This window comes from Homo sapiens, chromosome 11 (assembly GCF_000001405.40).
Source record: "Homo sapiens chromosome 11, GRCh38.p14 Primary Assembly".
Lineage (NCBI taxonomy): Eukaryota > Metazoa > Chordata > Mammalia > Primates > Hominidae > Homo > Homo sapiens.
In genome coordinates, this window is record NC_000011.10 from 47,150,597 (window position 1) to 47,176,892 (window position 26,296).

The following is a 26,296-nucleotide window of genomic DNA, read 5'->3' on the forward strand; positions in this document are numbered from 1 at the left end:
AGATGCTGTGGAGGCTTCAGCCTGAAGAATATGGAGATATCCGGTAGGTGAGGAGGAGGCATGGAGGGCAGGGAGCATCATGGGTAGAAGGGACAGGGAGCATTATGGCTAGAGGGACAGACTTGTCTGGAGGGCATGAGTAAGGACAGCTTCAGGGAGGATGGAAGGACTAGTGTGGCCAGAATGCAGTGGGGGAGTCGAGGGAGGCAGGGGGCAGATGGAGCGGGCTCACAGGCCAGATCCAAATGGGGGAACGTGTCCTAAGGGCAATGGGAAGACTGTGAAGGTTTTTTTTTTTTTTTTTTTTTGACATGGAGTCTTGCTCTGTCATCCAGGCTGGAGTGCAGTGGCACAAGCTTGGCTCACTGACATGGCCACCTCCCAGGTTCAAGCGATTCTCCAGCCTCAGCCTCTTGAGTAGCTGGGATTACAGGCATGAGCCACTGTGCCCGGCCTCTGTGAAGGGTTTCCAACACAATGGTAAAATGGTCACATTCACATTTTAGGAAAATCTTTCTGCCCACAGGATGGATACTCAATTAGAAGAAGGCTCACGCCTGTAATCCCAACACTTTGGGAGGCCTAGGTGGGCAGCTCATGAGGTCAAGAGATCAAGACCATCCTGGCCAACATGGTGAAACCCCGTCTCTACTAAAATACAAAAATTAGCTGGACATGCTGGCGCACGCCTGTAGTCCCAGTACTACTCGGGAGGCTGAGGCAGGAGAATCGCTTGAACCTAGGGGGCGGAGGTTGCAGTGAGCCACTGCACTTCAGCCTGGTGACAGAGTGAGACTCCATCTCAAAAAAAAAAAAGCAAGAGGAGTAGTTGCAGGGAAACTGGGTAGGAGGTCATGCCATCATCAAGAAAAGAGAGGTGAAGGCTGGGGGTAGGATGGTGGCTGTGGACGTGGAAAGAAGTAGATGGATTCAAGAGAAATTTCAGCAATAGCATTGATAGGACTTGGTGACTGGTTGATTGGCTTGGAGCAGAGGGTGGCGGGGGGAAGTTTCCAGGATGTCTAGTATGCCCAGCGTTTCTGGTTGAGGAGAGTCATAGCCGGTGTTGCTGTTAACACAAGCTCGGATCCATTTGGCTTTTTAAAAGGTAGCCAGTCTTACTTCTTGCAGTTGAAAAAAAACCCTCAGTCCTTTATACATGTGCTGCTGGGATCCAGCCACATGTCCCCCAGAAAGAAAGCCCTCGCCTCTGTCTGCACCCGCTTCACTCGCCCCCTACTCCCTCCTGCTCGGCATATGTTTCAGCTCCCCAGTCTCTGAGACTCAGACTCTTCACCTGTAGAATGGAAATAACAATAAGACCCACCCGTAGGACTGTTGTAGAATAAAATTTAATTAATGTAGTCAAATGCCTTAATAGCCTGCCATGAGGTAGGGTACTCAGGAAAGATACCTGCCTCTATAGGCGGATCACTTGAGGTCAAGAGTTCGAGACCAGCCTGGCCAACATGGTGAAACCCTGTCTCTACTAAAAATACAAAAATTAGCCGGGCATGGTGACAGGCACCTGTAATCCCAGCTGCTAGGGAGGCTGAGGCAGGAGAATCACCTGAACCTAGGAGGCGGAGGTTGCAGTGAGCCGATCTGCACCACTGCACTCCAGCCTGGGCAACAGAGCAAGACTCAAAAAAAAAAAAAATGCCTCTATTGTTACCCGTATTAAGGGCACCTGCAGGGCTGCCCTGCTCTGACGGACACTCCTACCCTCCCACGGTGTGCGCCCCCTCTTCTGCAACGGCCCATCTCCAAAGGGACTGCTGATGTTTGAGGTCAAGATGGCCCCTAGCAGAAAGCTGCAGACCACTTCTGAGGCTGGAAGGGTGTGCCCTGTTTATAGCTTCTAGTCCCATCTGTGGCTGAAAGAGGAAGATGCTAGTGGCACTCAGCATTAAGGCTTCCGCGAGGCTGCGAGGCAGGGGTAGCCCTTTGGGAAGTACGAGCTCAAGCTTCTGCTCCGAGGCAGGCTCTGGAATGGGCCTATTGGTGAGAATTGCAAATGGAGGTAACTTCTGTAATTAGACAGTGGTGATGGTGGCGCTACTTTGTGAATATACTAAAAAACTGAATTGTACGCTTTTAAAGGGTGACTTTTATGGTGTGTCATTATATCACAATGTAAATAAATAGCAAGTGGAAGTTGCTGCTATGGGAGTGCTGTGTTCCAACTGATGATCAACAGAAGCCATGGAACACGGGGAAAGCCTTGGGCTCCCTGGTGGTTTCCTGCTTGGGGATATTCACAGCCCAGTGCTGTTCTGTCGTAATTCACTTTAGACTATTGGGGCTCCAGCTGTCCTGAGAACAGGGCAGTAAAGGAAAGTCAGTGGCTTCTCATGTCCAGAGCCTTTGCCTGCCCTGCTGAGCCTGCCAAGGAAAAGCTTTGAGGTGCTGGTGGCCCTTGCTCCCTGAGCGCTCCCGGGGGAGCTCACTCTTCCTCTGCAGTTTGGAGGTCTTTGCTAACCCCAGTCCTCTCTAGCTGCCCGCTCTCTGCTGTCTCCCTGCTCCCTCAATCCAGATGTCAAAACAGATTCTGCCATCTGGGTGGGGAGGGAGCTGTTCTGCTGCCTGGGTTTTCCTTGGGTTATGAGATGGGGTAACCACTTGGCCTTTGGCACTGCACTTAGTCCTGTGAACTACTGACAGAGGGACCAGGGCACCCTCTTGTGGCCCTCAGCGGCACTGCTTCTTCCCGCCCTCCAGCCTTGAATTTCTTCCAGCTGGAATTCTAGTGTTGAACTCTGGTGGTGGAGGCAGCTGTCGTTCTCCCCAGGAGATGCCTAACATATCAGTAACAAGAAAGAAAATAAATCAGCCACAGAAACTAGGAGGTAAAATGTTAGTGTTTTTGCTCTGCAGCTTTATTTTCAAAGAGGCAGTGTGCTCTCATGGAAGATGTGTGGCCTGTGGAGTCCAGCAAGCTCCCCAGCTGTGTGTGTGACTTTGGCAGGCTGACCTCTGAGCCTCAGACTCTTCACGTGTAGAATGGAAATAATAAGACCCACCTGTAGGATTGTTGTGGGATAAAATTTAACGAATGCAGTTAAATACCTCAATAGCCTGCCACGCAGTAGGGCACTCAGGAAATGGCACCTGCTTCTATTGTTATCTGTATTACAATAAAGACTAGGCAGGAACCACTGTCTCTCTTCAGGAAGATCGCAGCAAAGGGAGTGGCACCACAATATCGTAGTCTCTGTGAAGCCCTTTCCCCAGCAGTGAGCAATCCTGGCTTTCTCTGGGGCTGATCCAGTTGCCAGTCTGGGAAACCTCTGACTCAGGGAAGTGGAGAGAGATTTAGAAAAATATGAGAGAGCAAAAGAAAACTTTTTTTGTTTTTTTTTTGACAGGGTCTCTCTCTGTCTCACGGGCTGGAGTGCAGTGGTGTGATCTCCGCTCACTGCAACCTCCGCCTCCCAGGTTCAAGCGCTTCTCCTGCTTCAGCCTCCTGAGTAGCTGGGACTACAGGTGCCCACCATGCCCAGCTAATTTTTCTATTTTTAGTAGAAGTGGGGTTTCACCATGTTGGCCAGGCTGGTCTCGAACTCCTGACCTCAAATGATTCACCCATCTCGGCCTCCCAAAGTGCTGGGATTACAGGCATGAGCCACCGCGCCTGGCCAAAAACAACTGAAAAAAGAAAAAAAGAAAGATAAAGCCAGAAGGACCTGATCAGAAACAGATTGGGGGCCCGCCCCACCCCATCTGATAGCTTGGCGCCTGCCTGGCATGTGATGGAGCCCAGCAAACGCTCGTTTCCTTCTCTTCTTGTCCTGGCTCAGATGAGGTGCTGAGCAGAGGATGAACATAGCCTTGGTCGGATCCCTTTATGAGTCAGACGGTTTTCTTCCTGTGAGGTGGGTCCTCAGTGGGAGGGACTAGAGACAGGAAAACCGTTGGGTGGGCAACCTGTGAACATGGATGCAAGGAGGAGCAGGGCGGCAGCACAAGATGAGTGTGGGTTTTGACCCTCACAAGTGCAGATTCCCCAATAGCTCTTTGCCCTCTCCCCTTGTCTGCCATCTGTGCCCCAGGGTGGCGGTGTCTGTCGCTGTTCTGGCCCTTTGGTAGCTTATTAAATCTCAGTACCACTTGCCAAGACCCTTTAAACCCCTTAGCTGTTCTTTTTGCCTTTTCTGATCAGCTGTATTTATTCTGAACTAAATGGTCCTCACGGCAGAATGAAAGGATTTACTGCTTAAGTATATGAAAAGAAACCTTGGCTGCATTACAGTTGCACCCTCTCCTCGCCACCCCCTGCCCATGCTCCATCCGCTAGCTGGTGCCACTGAGACTGAACCGGGAGCCCGCTCTGGGTACAGTGTGGTCAGTTCAGTTTGGTGGCAGAGTCCAATTGATGGAGCAGTGAGGTGACTGGGAGGAGCTTGCTTTTGGGAGCCCTCTCCTAAATGTCCTGCTGCCCCAGGGGAGACTGGCGGCCCAGGAACAGCTCTCTCTCTCCCTCTCCCCCGCACTTTTCCCTTCCTCCCTCTCCCTCTCTCCCTCCCCTCCTTAAACCTCTCCCCCATTCTCTCTCTCAGATTCTCTCTTTCCCCTTCAGGATTGTGCTCATGGACGATGCCATGGACTGCTTGATGTCTTTTTCAGATTTCCTCTTTGCCTTCCAGATCCAGTTTTACTACTCAGGTGAGTGTTCCGGGGCTCCATCTGGCTCCGCACAGGACCCTGTCTCCCTGTCCTGCCCTGCTGCCCTGCCCATCTGTGTGCCTGGCACACACGTTTCTCTTCCCCACTTCCTTTGGGGGTGTGCTTCACTGCGGGTCGCTAACAGGATGTCTAGTGTTCAGTGGTGGTCACAAGATTCAGTCTGCAGAGCCGACTTCCTCAGCCTCCTGAAGACACTGAACACCGCAGTGTTTTCAGTCAGCAACGCAACAAATCAGTTTAAGTGATAATGACAATAACAACATCCATAGCATCCACAGCATTCACTGCTTACTGAAAACTTACTATGTCCCAGGCACAGCACTGACTTTAATCTTGACAACAGCCTTGAGAGAGAGTCCTTTCAGAGACAAGCTCACAGAAGTAGTAGCCAGTCATGCAGCTCATAAGTGGTGGAGACCAGACCTGAAGGCTGACTCCAAAGCCAGCGTTCCCAACCTCGCTGCTATTTTACTGCCTTCAAGGGTCTCTCCCTTGGCAACTGATCGTGCGTTTGGGTGCACATTCTCCTCCACCCCACAGCTTTAAAAAAGCATACACCAGTCCTTTGTCACACTCCCACTCTGCTCCCCAATTCACACAGCTGCACCCTTAAGTCTCTCTGGAATCAGATGGAATAAATATAGACAAATAAATATAAATATACACCAGCTCACGCACAGAGACATCAAATGGAGTGCCGGGTTTACAAATTGCTGACTGTGTTCATAAACAAACTTGCTTAAAACAGGCTCTTCCAGTAAATAGAAGGCTGTCCTTAGATCCTAGAGGTGGCCTTCCTGCCAACTGGTGTCCCCAGCCAGCCCTGGCCTCATTTGGGCGCCACATTCTGTTTACTTGATGGCAGCCCAAGGGCTGTACAGTTAGGGGCTGGAGCCTGGGGTCTCGCCACCTGCTCTTAGCAGCACCAGTCATTTCCCATTTCTCTGAAGCTCTTGGGCCCTAGAGAAGGAGCAGCCATGTCTGGGAGAACATTTTTCCCTCACTGTCTCCCCAGCCCTCTTCTCACAGCACCCCCAGAGGGATGGGACAGCCACCACATTGGGCTGGGAGCATTACTGACACTGCCCAGCGGTGTGTGTAGAGACGAGATGGGCCATAAGTCAGCAGTTCTAACAATGGCTCAACTACGAAATTTGAAAACCATTTCAAATGACTGACTCATCAGCAGCTTTCAGGCTTTCTCTGTTCCTCGCTGGTATTCCAACACGCTTTCTTGAGGTAGAGAGGCAGGTGGCCACACACCATGGGGCTTACCAGTGGGAGCATACTCATGTTCACTCCTCCAAAAAATATTTATGGCCTTAATATGTGCCAAGCACAGTGCTAGGCAGGAGAGGCCAACAAGGCATGACCCCGCCTTTGTGCATTCCAGCAAGGAGACAGATTAGACAATTAATGACACAGAAAGCTCCTCACTGGCTAAGTGCCAGAAAAAAAAAAGCCTATGGTGCTATGAAAGTGTGCAATGGCAGGTCTCACCTGGTCCAGGAACAACTGAGCCAAGGATGGGACATTTGAGCAAAAACACAGATTAGTGTCATCTCTCATCAATGTGTTGTCAAACAAGGTTGAGAACTTCTGCTCTCAGGACACCATGCCCTGAGCACTGAGGCTGGTGTGGAACTGGGCTGACAGAGAAGGGAAGACATAGTGAACAGACAAAACATGTCCTCCCTGCCTGAGCCGTCCACACCCACACCCCCACCCCCACGGTTCCAGAATTCCTGGACAGTGTGGCTGCCATCTATGAGGACCTGCTGTCAGGCAAGAACCCCAACACAGTGATTGTGCCGACGTCGTCCAGTGGGCAGCACCGCCAACGACCTGCCTTGGGCGGGGCCGGCACGCTGGAGGGCGTGGAGGCGTCGCTGTTCTACCAGTGTCTGGAAAACCTGTGTGATCGGCACAAGTACAGGTGAGGAACGGGCATGCAGCCCCCAGCCCCCCAGCCCCAGGGGGTCGGACTGCTGGCTGCGGAACAGAGCTCCGCAGGATGTTCTGCGCGGCCCAGGCATTCTAGGGCCCTTGCTGGTCATAATGTAACAGTGCCATTTGCCCCCAAACCAGTTGTTGACTGAAAGGCTCTCAATTAGCTCACTTCAAAAGGACTGCTTTCACTCAGGCAAGACCACTGTAGTTGACCAATTTACTGGGTGACAGACTGGCCTTAACATTTTAGAGAGAAGGAAAGAGTACTCCTTGTATAAAACTTTTCTACACAAAGAGAGGGGTAAGCTGTCCTGTGTGGCACAAGTACCCTTAGGGACTGAGCAACAGGTTTGGTTTCCCGTAGCCATTTCCCACCCCCACTCCCCACCCCGGTGAAAGCACCAGTTAGTGAACATGCCAGCCCCTCCTGACCATAGTGAAGGCCTGATCCCCCAGGGCCTTGGGGCTCCCAAGGCAGGTCCCTGGCTTGGCTGTGGGTATCCTCATGAACCTGAAAGTATGGATGCAGAGGTGGCCCTGAGGCTGGCTAGGCTCTGAATGTGGCATCTCTCCTTCTTAGCTGCCCACCCCCAGCACTTGTCAAAGAGGCCCTCAGCAATGTTCAGAGACTGACCTTCTATGGATTCCTCATGGCTCTCTCAAAGCACCGTGGAATCAACCAAGCCCTCGGTAAGTCAGAGCTAAGCAGCCGTCAGCCTCTCCTGCCGCACAACACAGGGAGCAGCTGGCCTCTGTTAGCAACACGGCTCCAGAGGGGAAGGGGCATCACCATCTCTGCCTTGACTTCCCAGGGCCGGACTCAATCCCAGGGAGCAGGAATATGGCGACAAAACATGGCTCTTACACATTCCCATGGTAGGGGACAGCCCTCCCTGCCTGCAGCCCTGCCCCAACATGAAACCACCTCCCCATAGCAGAAGCGCCCAGCCCCTCCTCAGAGAACCCCAGCTCTGCTTTGGGGAGCAGCCTGCAGGTCGGGCAGACACAGGACTATTTACTCAGTGACGCTAGAGATTATATATCAAAGAGACCTGAATCCCATTTATAAACAAGGCACAGGTGTGTCTGCGGAGACCTTTTTTCCAAGCTGAAAAAAAAAATCTGATTAATCTGAAAGGGAGAAAAACAAAAGTAGGGGAAGTCTGCAGTGGCCCAGTTTTTCCTGCCTGCTGTTTTTTTTCACTGAGCCTTCTCCACCCACCCCACTGTTCCTCCTCCCACAGCCACTGCTCTCCTAAGAGAAGAGCCAGTAAGCCTCCATTCTACTACAGTTTAAGGTTTTTTGTTTTTTGTTTTATTTTGGGACAGAGTCTCGCTCTGTTGCCCAGGCTGGAGTGCTGTGTACAATCTCAGCTCACTGCAGCCTCGACCTCCCGGGCTCAAGTGATGCTCTCACCTCAGCCTCCCTAGTAGCTGGGACTACAGGCATGCGCCACCATCCTGGAAAATTTTTGTGTTTTTTGTACAGACTGGGTTTCACCATGTTGCCCAGGCTGGTTTCAAACTCCTGGGCTCAAGGGATCCCCTCACCTTGCTCTCCCAAAGTACTGGGATTACAGTTGTGAGCCACTACGCCCAGCAAGGAGTTCTTTTTTGTGTCTCGAGAGATCCTCCTGCTGTGCTTGGGATCCCAGGTGCCTGAGTCTCAAGGAAAAGACACACAGCATCCCCCTTCCTTTTGCCAGTTGAGGGAATGGGATTAAGGGAAGGAAAGTTAACATTCACTAAATGCCAACCACAGCAGGCTAAGTACTGTGCTGGATGCTTTATATTTTTTATCTTACACAATATACAGTTAGCCAGGGATGCTCTGGGATACACAAGCACAAACCCCAGCAGGCTGAACTGCATGCCACCCACAGCCTGGTTATTCTGAGTCAGTGCTTGGGGCATGCACAGGTCTGGGGAGCCCTCAACTGAAGTTGGTAGCCAAGGTTACCCACTGGACTAAGACTAGAAAGGAGGCAATTGACAGGCCAGGCGTGGTGCCTCACGCCTGTAATCCCAGCACTTTGGGAGGCTGAGGCAGGTGGATCACCTAAGGTCAGGAGTTCAAGACCAGCCTGACCAACATGGTGAAACCCCATCACTACTGAAAATACAAAAATTAGCTGGGTATAGTGGCCCGCACCTGTAATCCCAGCTACTCGGGAGGCTGAGGCATGAGAATCGGTTGAGCCCAGAAGGCGGAGGTTGCGGTGAGCCGAGATCACGCCATTGCACGCCAGCCTGTGCGACAGAGCAAGACAGTCTCAAAAAAGAAAAAAAAAACAAAAACAGGCGAGAGTCAGGAATCAAGAGTAAGGGGGAGGCGGGTGGGATCTGCCCTGGTGTTCTTTCATACTCCTCGTTATGACCACTCTTTCTTCCCACCAGTAGCAGCCACTAGGAAGGAGAAGCCAATTAGCAACTGGGTCACAGCCTGAAGTAACCTCATCCCCCTTTTCTAAGGGCCTTTAAAAAGGACACTGGCTGGGTGTGGTGGCTCACGCCTGTAATCCCAACACTTTGGGAGGCCGAGGCGGCGGATCACCTGAGGTCAGGAGTTCGAGACCAGCCTGGCCAACATGGAGAAACCCCGTCTCTACTGAAAATACAAAATTAGCCAGTTGTGGTGGCACATGCCTGTAATTCCTGCTACTGGGGAGGCTGAGACAGAAGAATCACTTGAACCAGGGAGGCGGAGGTTGCAGTGAGCCAAGATCGCATCATTGCATTTCAGCCTGGACAACAAGAGCGAAACTCCATCAAATAAATAAACACTAATAGCCAGACATGGTGGCTCCACCTGTAATCCCAGCATTTGGGGAGGCTAAAGCAAGAGGATTGCTTGAGCCCAGGAGTTAATGACCAGCCTGGGCAATATAGGGAGAACCCCGTCTCTTTAGAAAAAAAACAAAAATTAGCTGGGTGTGGTGGCATGTACCATTGGTCTCAGCTACGCAGGAGGCTGAGGTGGGAAGATCGCTTGGGCATGGGAGGTCGAGGCTGCAGTGAGCCATGATCACTGCACTCCAGCCTGGGTGACAAAGCAAAACTCTGTCTCAAAAAAAAAAAAAAAAAAAAAGTCACTCTCATTCAACCACTTTTACTGCACACTAACATTGGGTGGTTGGATGGAATGGGAGACAGAAAGAAGCATGTGGTCTCAGGCCTCACCTGCATCTCCAGCGTATGAAATAGAAATCCGGAGATACACTGGTTGACGCGTCACGGAGGTCAGCCCTGTTCCCTTAGTCCCCAGGGCACCCCACAAATGAGAGGGTTCTATGAGATGTACTTTGAAAACCACTAACTTAGGGCAAGAGGGGCCAGGAGGCATCATCTGAAAAAGATTTGGAAAAAGGGGAAATCTGCCTGTGCCGGGTTAATTCTGGCCCTGACCCAGCCTTCTCCTCTTGCCCCTGGGATCCTCCTTGGAGAAGCAGAGGCAGCATTTTTTTTTTAACCATCTGTCTCCAAAGTGGGGTCATCCTGATTTAGGGACACAAAATTAGGTAATGTCTGACCTTTGGGCTTAGCCTGGACCATATCCTTTTCAGCCCAGTACCTGAGGCCTCAAGAAGGAACTCAACTCCCAGCACCAGGTCACAACCACCACCTGGTGTTGGAAGGGGATCACCACACTCCTTGGCTGTGGTGTCTGCCCCAGGCAGGGAAAGTAGGCAGTGGGATTCAATAAATGTATCAAGCAACAGCGAGCACCTTCCTGCTCCGTGACTGTTCTTGGCCCCTCTAGCAGTCCTCAGATCTTTAGATCGGCCCTCGCAGGGTCAGCAGAACAGGCAGCCGTGAAGGTGAGGGGCATGGAGGAATCTGTTGCCTGGCTGAAGGGCCCTCAGATTAACTACTGTGCCCCCAATGATCTCCTAGGAGCTTTGCCTGACAAGGGGGATCTGATGCACGACCCAGCAATGGATGAAGAGCTGGAACGGCTGTAAGTGTCAAGTGGGAGGATACTGCCCCCTTGTGGGGGCCAGACGGGTCGGACACGGCTGTGCCCCATCTGGGGCCAACACCACTTGTCTGTAACATCCCACATCTGCCAGGGAAGGGTCTGGGGGCCAGTGGAGGCCTGAGGTGTCCCTCCCTCTGAGTCCTTTGGGGGCTGCAGCCCAGGGGTTTACCCTAGTGTTAAGAGTGGGCATGGAGGCCCTGCTCTCTGTACAGGAGGCCTCTCGCTGCCCTCCAGGCTTCTTCCCTTCTTCAGGCTGGCCCAGGTCCCAGGCCTGGTCAACTCGGTCACAGCCAGTCCAGAGGCCAGTTGCCTGCCTTCCCGGACCCCTCCCCGGGTTGGCTCTCCCTGGAGACCTCTCCATCATTCCCGAAAAGTGGATGGAGAGAGTGATGGCTCCACTGAAGAGACAGACGAGTCGGAGACTTGAGGAGTCCAAAGGGTCCTGCCCACAGCGCCCTGTACCTGCTCCCACCCAGCCCTTGGTGTGCCCACCCAGCCTCCTCTCCAGCACCTTGCTGTGCTGCCCTCTGCTGCTGACAAGGTGAATAACAGCCCCAAGACCAGCCAGAGGGGCTCTGATGATCAGCCCAGCCAGTGGCCCCGGAAGGTGAATGGCCTGCTCTCCCTGGCCCTATCAGCCTGTGAACTTCACTTAGGCCCCAAGCTGACAGACTGTGCTGAGGCCACCTTGTCACGCCGTAGCCTGTTAGTCCTCCTAACCTCTTAAGAGCAGTCTCTTCTGAGCCAGCCTCTGCGGGTCCCCCAATAAGGTTCATCTCCTCACAGCAACTCCATTAAGGGGGAGAACCCGAATAGCCACGCAGGGCCTTGCACCATCAAGGGTGACACCTGCGACGCAAGTACCAGGAGGACATAACCGCTGTGGCCTGTTGGAGAACAGCCAGTAGCCTTGGTAATATGAAGGGTGGGCCAGAAGATGATTTCACTTGCAAAAACTGCTTCAAGTCTTGACCCCTTTGTGTCTAATAGCTAAACAAACATGTGAAACGAATAAAAAGTCCCTCATGTCTGGTAACTGGTGAGTCTAAAGCTCCTAGGCTGAGGGGAGAAGGGAGAGGGGGAGTTTGGGTTTTCGGTGCTTTTCTGGTAGGACTAGGAGGTAGGCCAGTGGCCCACTCAGACCTGGGGACCTGCCTCAGACAACGAGCAGAGGGGCCTAGCTTCGCACAAGAGCAACCTTCCAGAGGAAAAGTGCTCACAGCTGGAACGGCCTTCAGGAAACAGGTTCAGAGGGTTCAAGGCCAGGTTCCCATAACTTTAAAGACCGTGGCCATAAAGGGTTAATACTGCACAGCCTTCCAGCCAGGGTTTCAGTCAACATTTGCCAAGCACCTGCTTGGGGTTAGAACAGTGGGATGCAGCTGTGAAAGACAGACAGACACAGCCTGGGGCAGACACATCCCAGCCAAGACTGGAGGCAGGTAAGGACGAGTGTCTTCAACTTCTTTGGATTGAGGGCTGAAGGGGCGGGGTCCCCCAGAAAGCAAAACCCACCCAGAAGCCCAAGCAGAACAGGACTGCCTCCTCTGAAGGTGGATGTCACCACTACTAGGCATACACATTTCCTTGGGCTCATCCCTACCCAGAACGGATCATTACAGGAACTGCCTCCCAAACCCCTGCAGAGCTGAGGCCAAGACTAGGCATTCCAGCCCCGAAGCTGCTCCAGGATGCAGTGGCTCATTGCCTGTAATCCCAGCACTTTGGGAGGCCAAGGTGGGCCAACTGCTTGAGCCCAGGAGTTCAGGACCACCCTGGGAAACATAGTAGGACCCTATCTCTACAAAATAACCTTAGCCAGGCATGGTAGCTTGCACCTGTAGTCCCAGCTACTTGGGAGACCCGAGGTAGATCACTTGAACCCAGGAGGTTGAGGCTGCAGTGAGCCATGATCGTGCCACTGCACTCCCGTCTGAGTGACTGACAGAATGAGACCATCTTAAAAAAAAAAAAAAAAAAAAGCTCAGGCTGCGTGATGAGCTCTGTAGGCCCACAATGATGCACAGCCCATAAGAGACATGGTTCTCAAATCCTGGTGTCCTCAGAATCACAGGAAAGCCTACTGACGATGCAAATTACCAAGCTCCAGAGAGTCTAACTCTATCAACTTGGGATGGAGTCCAGAAATTCCAGATGATCCCAAAGCTGAATGAGTCCCAAACCTACACTCTGCAAATCCCTGGCTTACAGCCCCCTGGCTCCCTCTGCCCATCCTTTCTAATCATCCACTTCCCAGACCAGTGGTCTGTAACTACCGTGAGGACTCCTAAGGTGGCACAGAGATGTTTCAGAAGCCCCCAAGAGAAAGGGGTGGCCAAGCTAAGGATTTACACACAAACACACACCTTTTCTTCCCTAAATTTAAAGGGTCCCATTAACGTCTAAGAGTATGTGTGTGTATGTATATATATGTAATTTTTTCTTTTTTGAGACAGGGTCTCACTTTATCACCCAAGCTGGGGTGCAGTGGCGCGATCTAGTCTCACTGCAACCTCTGCCTCCCGGGTTCAAGTGACTTCTGCTTCAGCCTCCTGAGTAGCTAGGATTACAGGCATGCACCACACCGCCCCCACCCCGCTAATTTTGTATTTTTAGTAGAAATGGGGTCTCACCATGTTGGCCAGGCTGGTTTCAAACTCCTAGCCTCAAGTGATCCACCCGCCTCAGCCTCCCAAAGTGCTGGGATGACAGCCATGAGCCACTGTACCCGGCGTTAAATATTTCTTAAACTCCACTGAAACCCATCCCCAGTCAAGCCTACTGCCGTGACAAGGGGCAGGACTGCTGAGGTTGCTCGCTCGCCCTCAGCCAGCGAGTTAAAGGGCCAACTAATGCCAGCTCTTTCCTCTGCGTGCCACAGGGTGGTGAGGTCGAAGCTGCACCGGACCTCACGGCAGCACAGAGCCAAGGAGCCAGGGGCCTTTGGCTTTCAGAGAAGAGAGAAGCAGGAGGCCCTGGAGAGAGTGTCCTCAGCTTCGGTACCGACGCCCTACCATTACCGGTGGGAGCCCAGAGAGTGAGGCCAGGGGCCGGCACTGGGCAGGGAGGCAGGATCCAGAGGACACTGCTTCACTCAGACCAACAGGGAGCCAGGCCCTGCAGGGGCTTTATTTTGACACCACTTTGTTTCAATACAAACAGTCCAGAAAGAAAGTCAAGTCCCTCTGGGGGAGGGGCAAGGGGAAGAGTGGTCTGTGTTGCTTGGGAGCCCAACCTACAACCCAAAGGTGGGGGCTGGGCTGAGACTGCCGGTGCGGCAGGGGAAGATGGCACCAAGAATGACAGTGCTTGGCTCAGCTGCCAGAGGGTGAGGCCCACAGCTCTCACTGGCGGGTGCTGTCCAGGCCAAGCCCAGAATGATGCAGAGGAAGGAGCTCAGCCCCAGGAGCCTGCCTCTGCCTCTCACATCCTCTGCTTCCCTGGCCAGCATCAAGCTCACAGCATCCAGAGTCGAATCACAGCAGACAAGACCCTCCATGGCCACCAACCCGGGGAAGAAGGGATAAAGAATGTCACAGAGGGTCCTGCATTCCACAGCAGATGGTACAGAGGGACCCTGAGACACCCTGAAACAATCTTCCAAGTGCTTACTGTAGAAAGGGGTGGTGAGACGGGAGAACCCAAGGGTCTCCGGTCTGATCCCAAATGAAACCTTTAGGTACCAGGTAAAGTTTCCAGCCCTTGGTAACGCCCAGACAAAGGTCCTTCCCCTCTCCTGGCACCCAGAAGAGGCCACTGGCAGCAGCAGCAGCAGCAAGTCCGCAGCCTCTTTCCCCATGGGACGGGTCTACAGTGAACTCCTTCCAGGCCTCCCCCTGGTTCCAGAGGATGGGGACCCAAGGCCTCGAACTAGAAGAACCCTAGAGCCAGCAAAAAAAGCCTTCTACCTTCCGCTTTCCCTACCTGGGGAAAGTCTGGACCCAGAATAAGCCATCGTGGGGGAACCCCCTTTCCCAGTATGGCAGGATAAGTGAGCAGCAGCTGTGGGGGCAGGACAGAAGGACAAGAGTCTAACACACGGAGGGTGGTGTGAGAGGGAATAAAGGGCTCAGTCCACAGGCAGAGGACAAGGGCTGGTACTGACCATTCCCCTCACAGGAGTGAGCGCCTCAAAGGCCACCCCACACACACACCACACATACGAAGTAACAAATCCTCCCCAGCTTCCACAAGGCAAAGCATCCCCAGCCTGGGAACTGTGGAGTTCTTGTTGCCGTCACCATCGTAAGCCTGAGTCACAGAGCTCGGATCAGTAGGAACCGTAGCGATCCTGGGGGCGAGGGGGGAGAAAAAAAAAAAAAAAGTCAGAGGCTCTAAGCTGCAGCAGCTTCCCAGCAAACACACTGCCTGCCCCAGCACCCCACAGCAAGACTGGGGAGGCAGGGGCTGGACAGCCCGGTGAGGCAGGAGTCCACGGTGAGAGCTGGGGCAGCGGCCACTCGGGCACCCGACAACAGGGAAGCCCTGCCTGGCCTCACAGAAGCTGGGAAGAGAAGAGAAAGAGCGGTACAGGTGACAAGGCCAGGGAAGATCATGGCAGACACAGAGGCATCTTGGAGAGGCCCGGCCCTGGCACGGAGCTGAAAGGAAGGAAGCTGCCCTCCAAGAAAATGCCTCTCTCTAGACTCTTGCTTTTTCGTTTGTGGTTTTTTTTTTGAGACAAGAGTTTCACTCCTGTCACCCAGACTGGAGTGCAGTGGCATGATCTCAGCTCACTACAACCTCCAGGTTCAAGCGATTCTCCTGCCTCAGCATCCCGAGTAGCGGGATTACAGGTGCACGCCATCATGCCCAGCTAATTTTGTATTTTTAGTAGAGACGGGGTTTTGCCATGTTGGTCAGGCTGGTCTCAAACTCCTGACCTCAAGTGATCCACCCATCTCAGCCTCCCAGTGCTGGGATTACAGGCGTGAGCCACCACACCCGGCCGAAAATGCTCTTAAGGCTCAGAGGGGCTGAGCAGTAGCAGTGTCTCTATGTGGTGGCGAAGGGCAAACCTCCCAGCACTCCTCATTAGGCCCCACTTCAGCCTCACCTGCAAGGAATTCATCACACCATTGGCCAGCACAGCCATTTTCCCAGCCACAGACTTGACACCCTGCTTAAACTGGGCAATGTCCGCTGTAGGCAGCACGTTCCCCAGAGATACACTTCCTGTAAAACAAGAGCAGGGTGACCCAGAGCCCAGCAAGAAGCCCTTCCCAGTCACAGCAGGGCCCTCCCGCCCTGCTCCCAGGCCTCACTTGGTGCCTGCCACCCCACCAGGGCCCTACCTGCTCCGTGAGCTCCATCCATGTCCCCAAAGAGGTCTGAAGAGCTGATGGCACTGCTGCCTGAGAGCTGCTGCAGCCGAGACCTGGCCTCATACTGTGGTGAGGAAAAGGCCAGGCCTGGGGATCTTGGGGCTGATGACCCAAGGACTCACACAGGCCAGGCCCTCCTGGTGCTAAAGCCCAAAGCAGCGGCAGGGAGAAAGCTCATGCTTCTGCCTGCTGCCTCGGACCTCAGGGCAGACAGCCCCACTTACCTCTGCATCCACCTCCCGCCCAAAGAACATGTCAGATGAGATGGCTTTGGCTCCTGCGAATTTCTGACGCGCCTCACTAGACTCGAGGCCTGAGCTCCGGCTCTCCACTTCCCTCCGGTTTGTGGCTCTGAGGGGAAGATGTGGAATATCTCGGACTCCTCCCATTATCATCAGGGGAGGCAGAGTACAGAGGCCAAACAGAGCACCAGTGGCCTTTTGGTGATGGGTTACCAGGTCCCATTCTGTCTGTGGCTCTGTGGCTCTGGGCCCCTCTCCCCTGGTGAGGAGTCACCCTTCTCCACATTGAGGCCAAGGCCCAGAGAGCTTAGGAACCTGCACTAGGCAGGGTGGAAATACAGCCTGCAGTGGCCTAGGCTCCTGCCCAAAAGCACACAGCTTCGTCAGCATTCAGGAGGCCACACAACTGCTGCTACCCTAATCCTAGTGACAACTTGCCTAGTACTACAATGAGCATATGTGTCGGTCTGCCTGGCTTTATACCTACTCTTGTCATAACTATGAATAGCAAACTGCCCCCTTTACTCTCAAAAGCATCCTGGTGTGGAAAGGGAGATGGTTGCTCTCATCTCACGCTGAGTATGTGGACACTGGGCCAGGTATTTCCGGAGACCCTATGAAGTAGTTACGTTCCCATTTTATACGGGGATAACTCACAGATATTATGTCAACTAAACAGATCCCAGATTAAGATGGAGTAGGGTTTTAAAAAATAAGAAGGGGGCTGGAGACATAAAACCCCTGAAAGGAGGTCAGGACTGAAGCATACAATCAGGCTCCTCCGGCCAGAGAAATGGACCCCAAGCAAAAGAAGCTGCCAGGCCCTCTATGATGACAAAGCACAACTCAAACCGAAGCCTGACTGCTGCCCTGTCTAATGAGGCAGGCACCAGCCACTGGTGGCTATTTACGTTTATCAGAAATTAAACTACATCAGAAATTGTTGCTCAGTTGCACCAACCACATTTTAAGGGCTCATAGCCACATAGTAGTGGCTACCATATTAAACAACACAGAGAACATTCCCATCAACACAGAAAGTTCTTCTAGACAGTGCTGCCTTAGAATTCTCTACCTTCAGCTTGTTTAAAAAAAAAAAAGAAAGAAAAAAGAAAAAACAGCCCACTCTACCTTTCTGAAATAGGCCGGATGCTTGAGATGGTCACTTCTGGCTCCTTCTCCTCTACCCTGTCCATACCCCAGGCAGCATCTGTATCCCAGCGGGAGCCAAAGCTTTCCCCTAAGGAAAAGGGATTGTCCTTGTACCTAGGGAGACAGTAGAGTGGCTCAGAGAAGCCTGATGAGGAACACAGCAGCCAAGTTTACAGCTAGAAAACAGCCTTACTTTGGGGGTCCAGAGGCGAAAGTACCAACATCGTCAAACAAGTCCAGCTGCGAGCGAGAGGATTTTGCACTCACTGGGGTTTCCTGCTCAATCACCTGCATCTCAGACAGCACGGAGTGGGAGACAGAGCTGCGCAGCAAAGCAGAGCCAGGCATGAGACCAAAGGATAGGCATCAGCATCACCGCACAAGAGACAATGCCCAGCAACTGGGTTCTCCTTCACGGAGCGTCACCCAGAGCCTTCTGTCCTTACCCAAGCACAGGGCTGGGCCAGACCCCAACAGAAGGCTAGCTGTGTGTGGTGACCTGTGAAGCACACCTCAGAATTCTTTACACATCAGCTTTGTTTATTCCACGTAGGAGTTCCCTGGCCAGTGACGGTTTGCCTGTTATAATTTAATTTTATTTATTTATTTGAGACAGATTCTCACTCTGTCGCCCAGGCTGGAGTCCAGTGGTGCAATCTTGGCTCACTGCAACCACCACCTCCCAGGTTCAAGCGATTCTTGTGCCTCAGCCTCCCGAGCAGCTGGGACTACAGTGCACGTCACCACACCCAGCTGATTTTTTGTGTTTTTTCAGTAGAGACAGGGTTTCGCCACATTGCCCAGCCTGGTCTCAAACTCCTGAGTACAGACAATCCACCCGCCTTGGCCTCCAAAAGTGCCAGGATTATAGGCGTGAGCCACTGTGCCTGGCTCGTGTTGTAATTTTAATATTGTGCACCAGATGCCAGTGGTCTCTGTCCTGAACAACTCCCTACCTTGTGCACTATGAACCCCATCCTTCACTGATGGGGTTCACAAAGCAAAGGAATGGATGAAGAAATGCCCCAGCACCAGGGAAATGAACATAACTGCATCAAAGAATGAGTTCTTCATCATCCTACTCTTTATTAAAAAAAAAAAAAGCCAGGCACCGTGGCTCACACCTGTAATTCCAGCACTTTGGGAGGCCGAGGCGGGCAGATCACGAGGTCAGGAGATCGAGACCATCCTGGCTAACATGGTGAAACCCCGTCTCTACTAAAAATACAAAAAAATTAGCCGGGCATGGTGGCAGGTGCCTGTAGTCCCAGCTACTTGGGAGGCTGAGGCAGGAGAATGACGTGAACTTGGGGGGCGGAGCTTGCAGTGAGCCGAGATCGCACCACTGCACTCCAGTCTGGGCAACAGAGCGAGGCTCCGTCTCAGAGAGAAAAAAAAAAGCACCTCAAAGCACAAAGACTGGCCTTATGCACTAAGACCTAGAATTGCTGTCTCGTTTCTCAAAGAAAAGGGGTCTAGGGTTGGCAGGCAATACAATACAACTCTTGATGCCTCTCATTCCTCTGTCAGGCTCCACAAGGACACTTTAAGGACTAATTTGATTTAAATCAATTCATTAAAAAATATCTATAGCTTTTAGCTAGAAGAACCCCAAGGAGTGATTATTTTGCAATAGGGCTGAGTTGGGCCGGGCATGGTGGCTCACACCTGTAATCCCAGCACTTTGGGAGGCCGAGGCAGCCGGATCACCTGAGGTCGGGAGTTCGAGACCAGCCTGACCAAGACGGAGAAACCCTGTCTCTACTAAAAATACAAAATTAGCCAGGTGTGGAGGCTGAGGCAAGAGAATAGCTTGAACCCCGGAGGCGGAGGTTGTGGTGAGCTGAGATCACACCATTGCACTCCAGCCTAGGCAACGAGATTGAAACTCTGTCTCAAATAAATAAATAGGGTGAGTTGGGTTTAAGTAAACAATTGTTGCACTGCTAAAAAACTGTTCATATGCCTTAACCCCTTGGTCATCCCTTAACCCAGTCATCTATTAACCCAGTCATTCCTATGTGACTGAAGCAGGGAAAGGAGGGAGACCCAATGTCCTTTCAAGTTAAAATGTTATGCTCTGGCTGGATGTGGCTCACGCCCGTAATCCAAGCACTGGGCGCCGTGGCTCACACCGGTAATCCCAGTACTGTGGGAGGCCGAGGCGGGCAGATCATTTGAAGCTAGTAGTTTTACACCAGCCTGGGCAACATGGTGAAACCCCATCTCTACTAAAATACAAAAATAAGCTGGGCATGGTGGCACATGCCTGTAATCACAGCTTCTCAGGAGGCTGAGGCAGGAGAATTGCTTGAATCTGGGAGGCGGAGGCTGCAGTGGGCTGAGATCACACCACTGAACTCCAGCCTGGGTGACAGAGCAAGACTCCATCTCAAAAAAAAAAAAAAAAAAAAGAAAAGAAAAGAAAAAAGAAAGCCGGGCACCGTGGCTCATGCCTGTAATCCCAGCACTTTGGGAGGCTGAGGCAGGTGGATCACTTGAGGTCAAGAGTTCGACATCAGCCTGGCCAACATGGTGAAACCCCATCTCTACTAAAAATACAAAAAATTAGCCAGACACGGTGGTACACACCTGTAATCCCAGCTGCTTGGGAGGCTGAGACAGGAGAATCACTTGAACCCAGGAGGTAGAGATTGCAGTGAGCCAAGATCGTGCCATTGCACTCCAGCCTGGGTGACAGAGTGAGACTTTGTCTCAAAAAATAAAAATAAAAAGCCATAGCAGCCAGACATGGTGGCTCACATCTGTAATCCCAGTACTTTGTGAAGCCAAGGTACTTAAACCCAGGAATTCGAGACCAGGCTGGACAACATAGCAAAACCCTGTCTCTACAAAAAGTAAAAAAATTAGCTGGGCATGGTGGCTCCCGGCTGTGGTCCCAGCTATTTGGGAGGCTGAAGTGGAAGGATCACCTGAGCCCAGGAGGCAGAGGTTGCAGTGAGCTGAGATCACACCATTACACTCCAGCCTAGGCAACAGAGCAAGAATCTGTCTCAAAAGAAAAAGAAAGAAAACCACAGCAAACCGAGTGGTTCTGAAACAGGAAGGATTCCACCCAAACTGAGGGCATTTGAAATGTGGGGGATATGTGAGGGTATTACAGGGAGCACAAATGGCATCTCTAGACAGGAATTAAGGATGATACTAAATGCACCGCAATTCTCAGGGAGGTCTGGAAAAATAAACTGTCCCATGACTCAAAGTGCCATCAAGAAAAACCACCCTAGTCTCTTGAAGATACTGAAATAACACCTGATCCTGTGTTTTGTTCACATACCTATTCAGTCATTCAACTTACTGAGCACATACCTACTATGCGCCAAGCACTGTATTAGGGACTTTAGAACAATAAGCCAAGTGATCTATTCAGACTTGGAGAAACAATAAGCCTAGCATCCCAAACTGCTAGGAAGGCCCCGCAATGGTTCCCAGAAAACAACGGCATTTCCCTGCCACACCCGGAGCTGAGCCTCACCTTCGGGATACCAAGCCCATGCCCAACCTTTCTGCCTGCTCTCGCTTCTTCCCTTCCAGATTCTGTAGCTTCTTTTCCTCTTTCTTACGATCAATCTGGAGCTCCTGGTAGGCCAGACGCATGGAGGCGACCCTTAGGGGGAACAAAGGTGTCAGTGGCCACCACCCATCCTGACCTGTCCAACATACCCACCCACCAAGCCCCGCAGAAGCCTGAGGCCCCGGCAGCAAACACTTACATGGACTCCTCCGCCTGCTTCTTGGCATCGGCTGCCTGCTGCTCACGGAGCTTCTCTGCCACCTGAGCCTGCCGCTCAATCTCACTGAAGCTCTGGCTGCTCACCTTCTGGGCCCCTAGGCCTTTCTTGGCACCCAGCTGGGAACAGAATCATGTAAGGGGCCTTCCCAATCACACTCTCCTCAGATCCCTCCCAGGTTCAGGCACTGTAGCCACACCCACAAGGAAAAGGCCCTTCTTAAAATTTAGGGTAAAAAACAGGAGCCCAACCAGCATGGCCAAGACAATAGTGCTCCGCTGGAGCTGGGCATGGGCGGCTCACACAGCCCCAGCAGAGCCCGGGCCTGAGGACGGCAGTTAATGCTGACAGGGCCAAGTATGTGCCAAGCACTCCGCCAAGCACTAGATGTGCTCCATCTCACCGACTCCTCCCAGCAGCCCTTGAAGACAGGCTTTAAATCCCTTTAAATCTTTAAATCCCTTTCACAGGCGAGGTTCGGAGAAACACAGTACCTTTGCCAAAGTCATATAGCTGGTAAGTGGTAAGGTCAAGGAGTGAACCCAGGTAGCCTGCACCCAGCTCCTAACCCCTCTACCATACCACCTCTCCCCACCTACCCCTTTCTTAGCTGCTGCTGGCTTCTTCTTGCCAATGATGGAGCTTTTCAGTTCTGCGTGAGAAACGGGTAGGCATGAGCTAAGACAAAGGCAGCTCAGAGGCAGTAGCTCAGTATACACCATGCAGCTTCATGGCAAGAGCTCCTAAGAACAGCTTCAGGCAAGGGAAGGCAAAGCTGCCACCACCAGCTCCAACCAGCGGTGTCAAAGCCAAAGACAGACGTGGCTGGGGTATTTACTGGCACCCAGCAGAGTGAGACAGGAACCTAGACCTGAAGCACCAGAGACGTCCGAAGCACCAGAGACGTCCAAATTCCCTGAACCAAAACAAAGACTGCGAGGCAGGGAGCATATGGTGAGCACCAGGCTCCGCTTCTAAAGCAGGAAGCTGAGAACAGGGGCTGGGCTCCCCAAGCAGCTGTCAGTTACCTCTGGCAGGAAGGGCCCCTTTAGCTGACAGATACACGGACTCTGGAGGAGAAACAGACTTGTGGCTAACAAGAGGCCCACCCCAGAGCCTCCACAGAGCTCCCAAGCCCAGCGGTCTCTATGAAGCCCTGCTTCAGACCAAGCTATGCCAGCCTTCTCATGGATCAGTCTGACAGTCACTCTGCTGGGTTCCAGCCCCAACCCCCAAGAGTCAACAGAACAAACCGAGGTCAGCAAATGGACTGTTCGCCCTGAACCAAGTCTGAAAGACACTAAGGAAAATGTAGGAAAGAGTTAAAGGACAGGCTGGGGTACTGGCTGAGAAAGAACAATGTCACCTCCAGCCTTCGGCAGCTCAGAGCTGTCCCTCCACCCCCGGAAATGCACCAGACAAGCCAGCCCTGCCTCAGAGCCCAGGGATAGGTGTCCAGTCTCATGCTGGCCTCCCCAACACTTTGGCTAGACCCAGCCCCACACTCAGAGGCAGACCCCAGGCCTTATACACCAGCCCACCCAGATTCATCAATTCAAAGGGCTTGGCTCTAAAATCAGTGTTGCATCCACTATTTCAATCACAGTCCCCACTCCAGAGAATCAGATAGATGCTCAGTCTCCTGTGGCCTCTGTCCACACGGCCAGGCAGTAGGACCTCTGAAAAGAACATTTGAGGTCCACCCTCTCCCAGACACCCCACGCCTGCCCGCTGGCATACTGACCCAGTGAGGCTTTGGGTGAGGTGCCAAGCAGGTCTGTGTTGGGGCCATGCTCCGGCTCTGTGGATGCAATGGTAGGAGTTAGAGATGAGCTCCTAGCTTCCTGCAACCTCCCCTTGAAAGAAGTGATGGGACAAGAATCGGTGGCTTTCCTCAGCTTGCCACCAAAAGATAAAAGGAATATCTACCACTTCCTCCAAGGATTAAAATGAATCCCGGCCCACCCAAAGATACAGGAGGACCCCTGCTCCTATTGTCATGGCCAGATGTCCCCTTCCAAACCCTGAGTCCTCTCCTAGGACCAGGGCACCTGGTTGGAATCTGGGCTGAACTCACGTGCCAGGCCACTGCTCTCTGTAGACGGGGCTGGCTGCTGGGTCCCTGAAGGCTCAGTGGCTGGCGCATCCCAGGCAGGGGGCTGAAAAGGAGGCCAGATCACAGATGCCTCGGTGAGCCACTCCTGCTGGCAAGAAGCACCAAGACCTACAAGCACCTTGTGGACAAGAAATCATACTCCAAACCCATGAGGAAAGGGACTGGAGGGTAGCAAACAAGATCACAGTTGCTATTCACTGTGGAAGAAAGCAGGAAGACAAGCAGCCCCCACCCCAACCCCTTCACTATTTACTTAGAGCCAGAGCCCATTCTCCTAACTTAAAGACAGTTAACTACCACCACCTAGGCAGGCACAGATCTAAAGGCTCCTCATATATGAATATATTTAATTATCACTACAACCCCTATGAAGGAGCTACATCGCCATTTTAGAAACTGAGGTTTTGACAGGTTGAGTGACTTGGCCACCATCACAGGAATGCGGAGTAGAGAACAGGAATTGAAGCCAAGAGTCTAACTTCAGCACCCAGGGCCAGTAAAGAGGAAACCCTCCTCAAAGGGGTGGGGCGGGGAGGAGAGAATCCTTTCACTGTCCCCAAGCACAGTGCCTTTTTTTTTTTTTTTTTTTTTTTTTTTTTTTTTTTTTTTGAGACGGAGTCTCGCTCTGTCGCCCAGGCCGGACTGCGGACTGCAGTGGCGCAATCTCGGCTCACTGCAAGCTCCGCTTCCCGGGTTCACGCCATTCTCCTGCCTCAGCCTCCCAAGTAGCTGGGACTACAGGCGCCCGCCACCGCGCCCGGCTAATTTTTTGTATTTTTAGTAGAGACGGGGTTTCACCTTGTTAGCCAGGATGGTCTCGATCTCCTGACCTCATGATCCACCCGCCTCGGCCTCCCAAAGTGCTGGGATTACAGGCGTGAGCCACTGCGCCCGGCCCACAGTGCCTTTCTTATAGGGGAAGAATCCAGGAAAATTTGTTTGGGGCACCGGACACCTCTTGAAACTTCAAGAAGCTGCCTCTCTTCCCCGCCAGCCCAATTTATAGGAGTCGATTTCTAAGGAGGGCTACACTGCACCTCCATTTATGGAGGAGGAAACACCTAGGCCTACCCAGCAGGAACAGTGGACTTCATACGTGGTGTCCAAGACATCACATCAAAGCAAATGGAATCTACAACCATGATCACAGAAGGCCTGGGCCTTGGTAAATTGCCTGTCAAGAACAACTGGGAAAACGGTTCCTTGTGGGCACTCACTTGAGTGTGTTCTGTGAAGAAATCAGAGTCCTTCTTCTCTGGGGAGTGATTAGGAACGGCACTACTCATGTTGTCTATCCAAAGCTAGAAAGGAGAAGACACCCCTAAAACACAGGGCTCTGAATACTCCTAACCCTCCTGCCCCAGCCCCAAGAACAGGCACTTACATCAGTGCCATGCCTAGCCAGGGCCGCACTCCCCAGCTGCCGGATCTTCTCCCGGTACATCTGGGCAGCTCGGCTATTATATTTGGTGTTGGCATCATTGGCTGTGCATCCATGTTGGCGAAAAAAAGCCGTCTGGAGAGCAAAGAAGAGAGCAGCGCGTGCTACGGGTGATTCTCAAGAAGGAAACGTGTTGGCTGTAGGAGACATCTCCTTATGACAGCGAAGTTATTATCTATACAGGATGATACACGCTACTGACACCGGTTTTTCAGAGATAAAGTTTCTCGAAATTCCTGCAAAAAACACCTTGCAGCGGGCCATCCTCTGATATGACTGAAGTCCAGGCCCCACTGAACGCTGCCTGAGCACAACATCCCATACCCAGCCTCCCCATCCTTCATCCAGGGCAGGCCCACAAGACCCAATGACTGTGAAGGCTCCCAACTCCTGTGGCTTTTCCCCAAGAACACCTGCCCAGTTTAATTGGAATCTGAAACCCATTTAAGAGAAGCTGTGACCAGTTTCGAAGTTTTCAGAAAATAGCTTATGGTGGTGTTATAGAACAGAGAACCCTCTGAACAGGGAAAACGACAGGGCCTCTTAGGGAGTCGTGCAAAGTTAGTAACCAGGCAGAAGAATGGAAGGTGAGGGAAGTAGAAGGAGCTTTACCGCATTGGCATTCCCGCCGACCTGCATACACCTCAGCTGGAACCAGTTCCAGTTGGAATCCAACTCTGTGGACCTGTGTACAAGGGCTGCGTCTCACCCACTAGCAGATACCAGCAGGATTTCCCTGGCAACCCGGATACCTGTCACTTGGCCTCAGGCTGCTGTAGGCACCCAGGAAACATTAATCAGCCATCACCCCATTTCCTCCACACTACCCTGTCCATGAAAACTCTCCTCTTCGTTCATTTACTCCAAAGAGTACTAATTATGTCCCCAGATCCGAAAGGAGGTCACATTCTCAGGCACGCACGCCTGGATTTGGCTTTCCCCTAATGGATGGTCACAGTCTCACTAGAGACATACTGGTCTAACAACATATCAGCAACAACAAGGTCAATGCCTCCCTTTCCCCTCAACTAACGCTCAGAGTCTCAAGCCTGACCGTCAAAAAAGAGGAAGTTTTGGCCCAGAGGCGGAGACGGACCGCCCATGTGCCAAAGGGCCCACACAGGTGGTTCCCTCTGGCAGGAGGCTACCGGACCCTCTCGGCCCAGAGGCTTCCCACCGAATTCAGAGCGGCCCAAGTCGAGGCAGCCACTCTCCCTTGTTGCCCAGACACCCCTGGCCGGCCGGGTGGAAACACGGCAACCGCGCGGAGAGCCTACCTGATGAAGCTCAGATGGACGCCCAGGGAGCGGTGCACCCCGGAACAGTCAATGCACAAGAAAACACCGTACGTGATGCTGGCCCAACTCGGATTCTTGGCGCCGCAGTCGAAACAGGCCTGGGTGGAGGCGGCGATGAGCGAATCGTCAGGGGCCCCGAGTAAAGGCCAGGCACCGACACCCCAGAAACATAACCCACCTCCGCCCTTCTCCCTCCCTCAGGCCCCAGCGGGACGAGAGACTCCGCGCGCCCCCTGCTCACGCACCTTGTTGGTTGGAACTGCGCGAAGCCTCTTAAAAAGAGTCTGGATTTCGGTCTTGTTCGGCTCCGCCGCCATTTTCTCTCCTTCCCAGACACAACCGCGGCTGACGGGTCC

The 26,296-nt window shown here is 52.6% G+C and overlaps 2 protein-coding genes and 1 long non-coding RNA gene across 15 annotated transcripts in view, besides 4 other annotated features; 1 reads left to right on the plus strand and 2 right to left on the minus strand.

Annotated features, from left to right (window-relative positions):
* Window positions 1-13,789, plus strand: part of CSTPP1 (centriolar satellite-associated tubulin polyglutamylase complex regulator 1) — a 227,697-nt gene extending 213,908 nt beyond the window's left edge. For 4 of the 7 annotated variants that reach the window (NR_103471.2, NR_103472.2, NM_001278222.1 and 1 more), the window contains 5 exons: window positions 4,580-4,665; window positions 6,427-6,622; window positions 7,217-7,326; window positions 10,531-10,594; window positions 10,868-11,651. Coding sequence is in view for 5 of the 7 variants with exons in the window: in NM_001278222.1 (NP_001265151.1) it covers window positions 4,580-4,665; window positions 6,427-6,622; window positions 7,217-7,326; window positions 10,531-10,594; window positions 10,868-11,042 (631 nt within the window). In the remaining 2 variants the exon portion in view is untranslated. Of the gene's footprint in view, window positions 1-4,579; window positions 4,666-6,426; window positions 6,623-7,216; window positions 7,327-10,530; window positions 11,652-13,496 lie in introns of those variants that run through there. The other 3 variants (NM_001003678.3, NM_001003677.3, NM_001003676.3) reach the window with 3 other exon arrangements.
* Window positions 2,734-2,813: an enhancer, noted in NCBI's record as "active region_4687". NCBI's record gives its function as "activates an Ori minimal core promoter by ATAC-STARR-seq in GM12878 lymphoblastoid cells {active_cell/tissue: GM12878}" and the evidence as "EXISTENCE:reporter gene assay evidence [ECO:0000049][PMID:35858748]".
* LOC124902672 (uncharacterized) lies at window positions 2,851-6,430 on the minus strand. Its single transcript, XR_007062668.1, has 2 exons — window positions 6,187-6,430; window positions 2,851-3,927 (listed from the first exon to the last, which is right to left on the minus strand). It is a non-coding gene; the product is annotated as an uncharacterized LOC124902672 (long non-coding RNA).
* Window positions 10,462-10,756: a silencer, noted in NCBI's record as "tiled region #11477; K562 Repressive DNase unmatched - State 12:CtcfO". NCBI's record gives its function as "represses a minimal TATA promoter and a strong SV40 promoter by Sharpr-MPRA in K562 cells {active_cell/tissue: K562}" and the evidence as "EXISTENCE:reporter gene assay evidence [ECO:0000049][PMID:27701403]".
* Window positions 10,507-10,673: a silencer, noted in NCBI's record as "fragment chr11:47182654-47182820 (GRCh37/hg19 assembly coordinates)". NCBI's record gives its function as "represses an EF-1alpha promoter that drives an FKBP-Casp9 reporter gene in an ReSE screen in phorbol 12-myristate 13-acetate-treated (for megakaryocytic differentiation) K562 erythroleukemia cells {active_cell/tissue: K562(+PMA)}" and the evidence as "EXISTENCE:reporter gene assay evidence [ECO:0000049][PMID:32094911]".
* Window positions 13,705-26,283, minus strand: ARFGAP2 (ARF GTPase activating protein 2). Of its 7 annotated transcripts, none has more exons than NM_001410995.1 (17): window positions 26,186-26,283; window positions 25,920-26,038; window positions 25,255-25,327; window positions 24,586-24,717; window positions 24,419-24,502; window positions 23,163-23,244; window positions 22,830-22,886; window positions 22,114-22,155; window positions 21,685-21,737; window positions 21,068-21,204; window positions 20,830-20,961; window positions 17,527-17,655; window positions 17,313-17,447; window positions 16,164-16,290; window positions 15,910-16,003; window positions 15,672-15,790; window positions 13,705-14,906 (listed from the first exon to the last, which is right to left on the minus strand). In NM_001410995.1, exons 1-17 carry the CDS (start codon window positions 26,255-26,257, stop codon window positions 14,886-14,888), a joined length of 1,608 nt encoding a protein of 535 aa, NP_001397924.1. In that variant the 5' UTR covers window positions 26,258-26,283; the 3' UTR covers window positions 13,705-14,885. The 7 variants fall into 7 exon arrangements, with proteins under 7 accessions (NP_001397924.1, XP_005253224.1, XP_005253223.1 ...); XM_005253167.2 differs by having other exon boundaries at window positions 23,163-23,286; XM_005253166.3 differs by having other exon boundaries at window positions 23,163-23,319.
* Window positions 26,031-26,260: an enhancer, noted in NCBI's record as "active region_4688". NCBI's record gives its function as "activates an Ori minimal core promoter by ATAC-STARR-seq in GM12878 lymphoblastoid cells {active_cell/tissue: GM12878}" and the evidence as "EXISTENCE:reporter gene assay evidence [ECO:0000049][PMID:35858748]".

Excerpts from the sequence above, each read along its gene's own strand:
- ARFGAP2 (XM_005253166.3), bottom strand. The coding sequence starts at position 26,257 with ATGGCGGCGGAGCCGAACAAGACCGAAATCCAGACTCTTTTTAAGAGG. Across the intron at positions 24,718-25,254 it reads TCGGCGGGAATGCCAATGCG|ACGGCTTTTTTTCGCCAACA; the intron begins GTAAAGCTCCTT and ends TTTGCTCTCCAG. Across the intron at positions 17,448-17,526 it reads TTCGCCTCTGGACCCCCAAA|GTACAAGGACAATCCCTTTT; the intron begins GTAAGGCTGTTT and ends CTGTCTCCCTAG.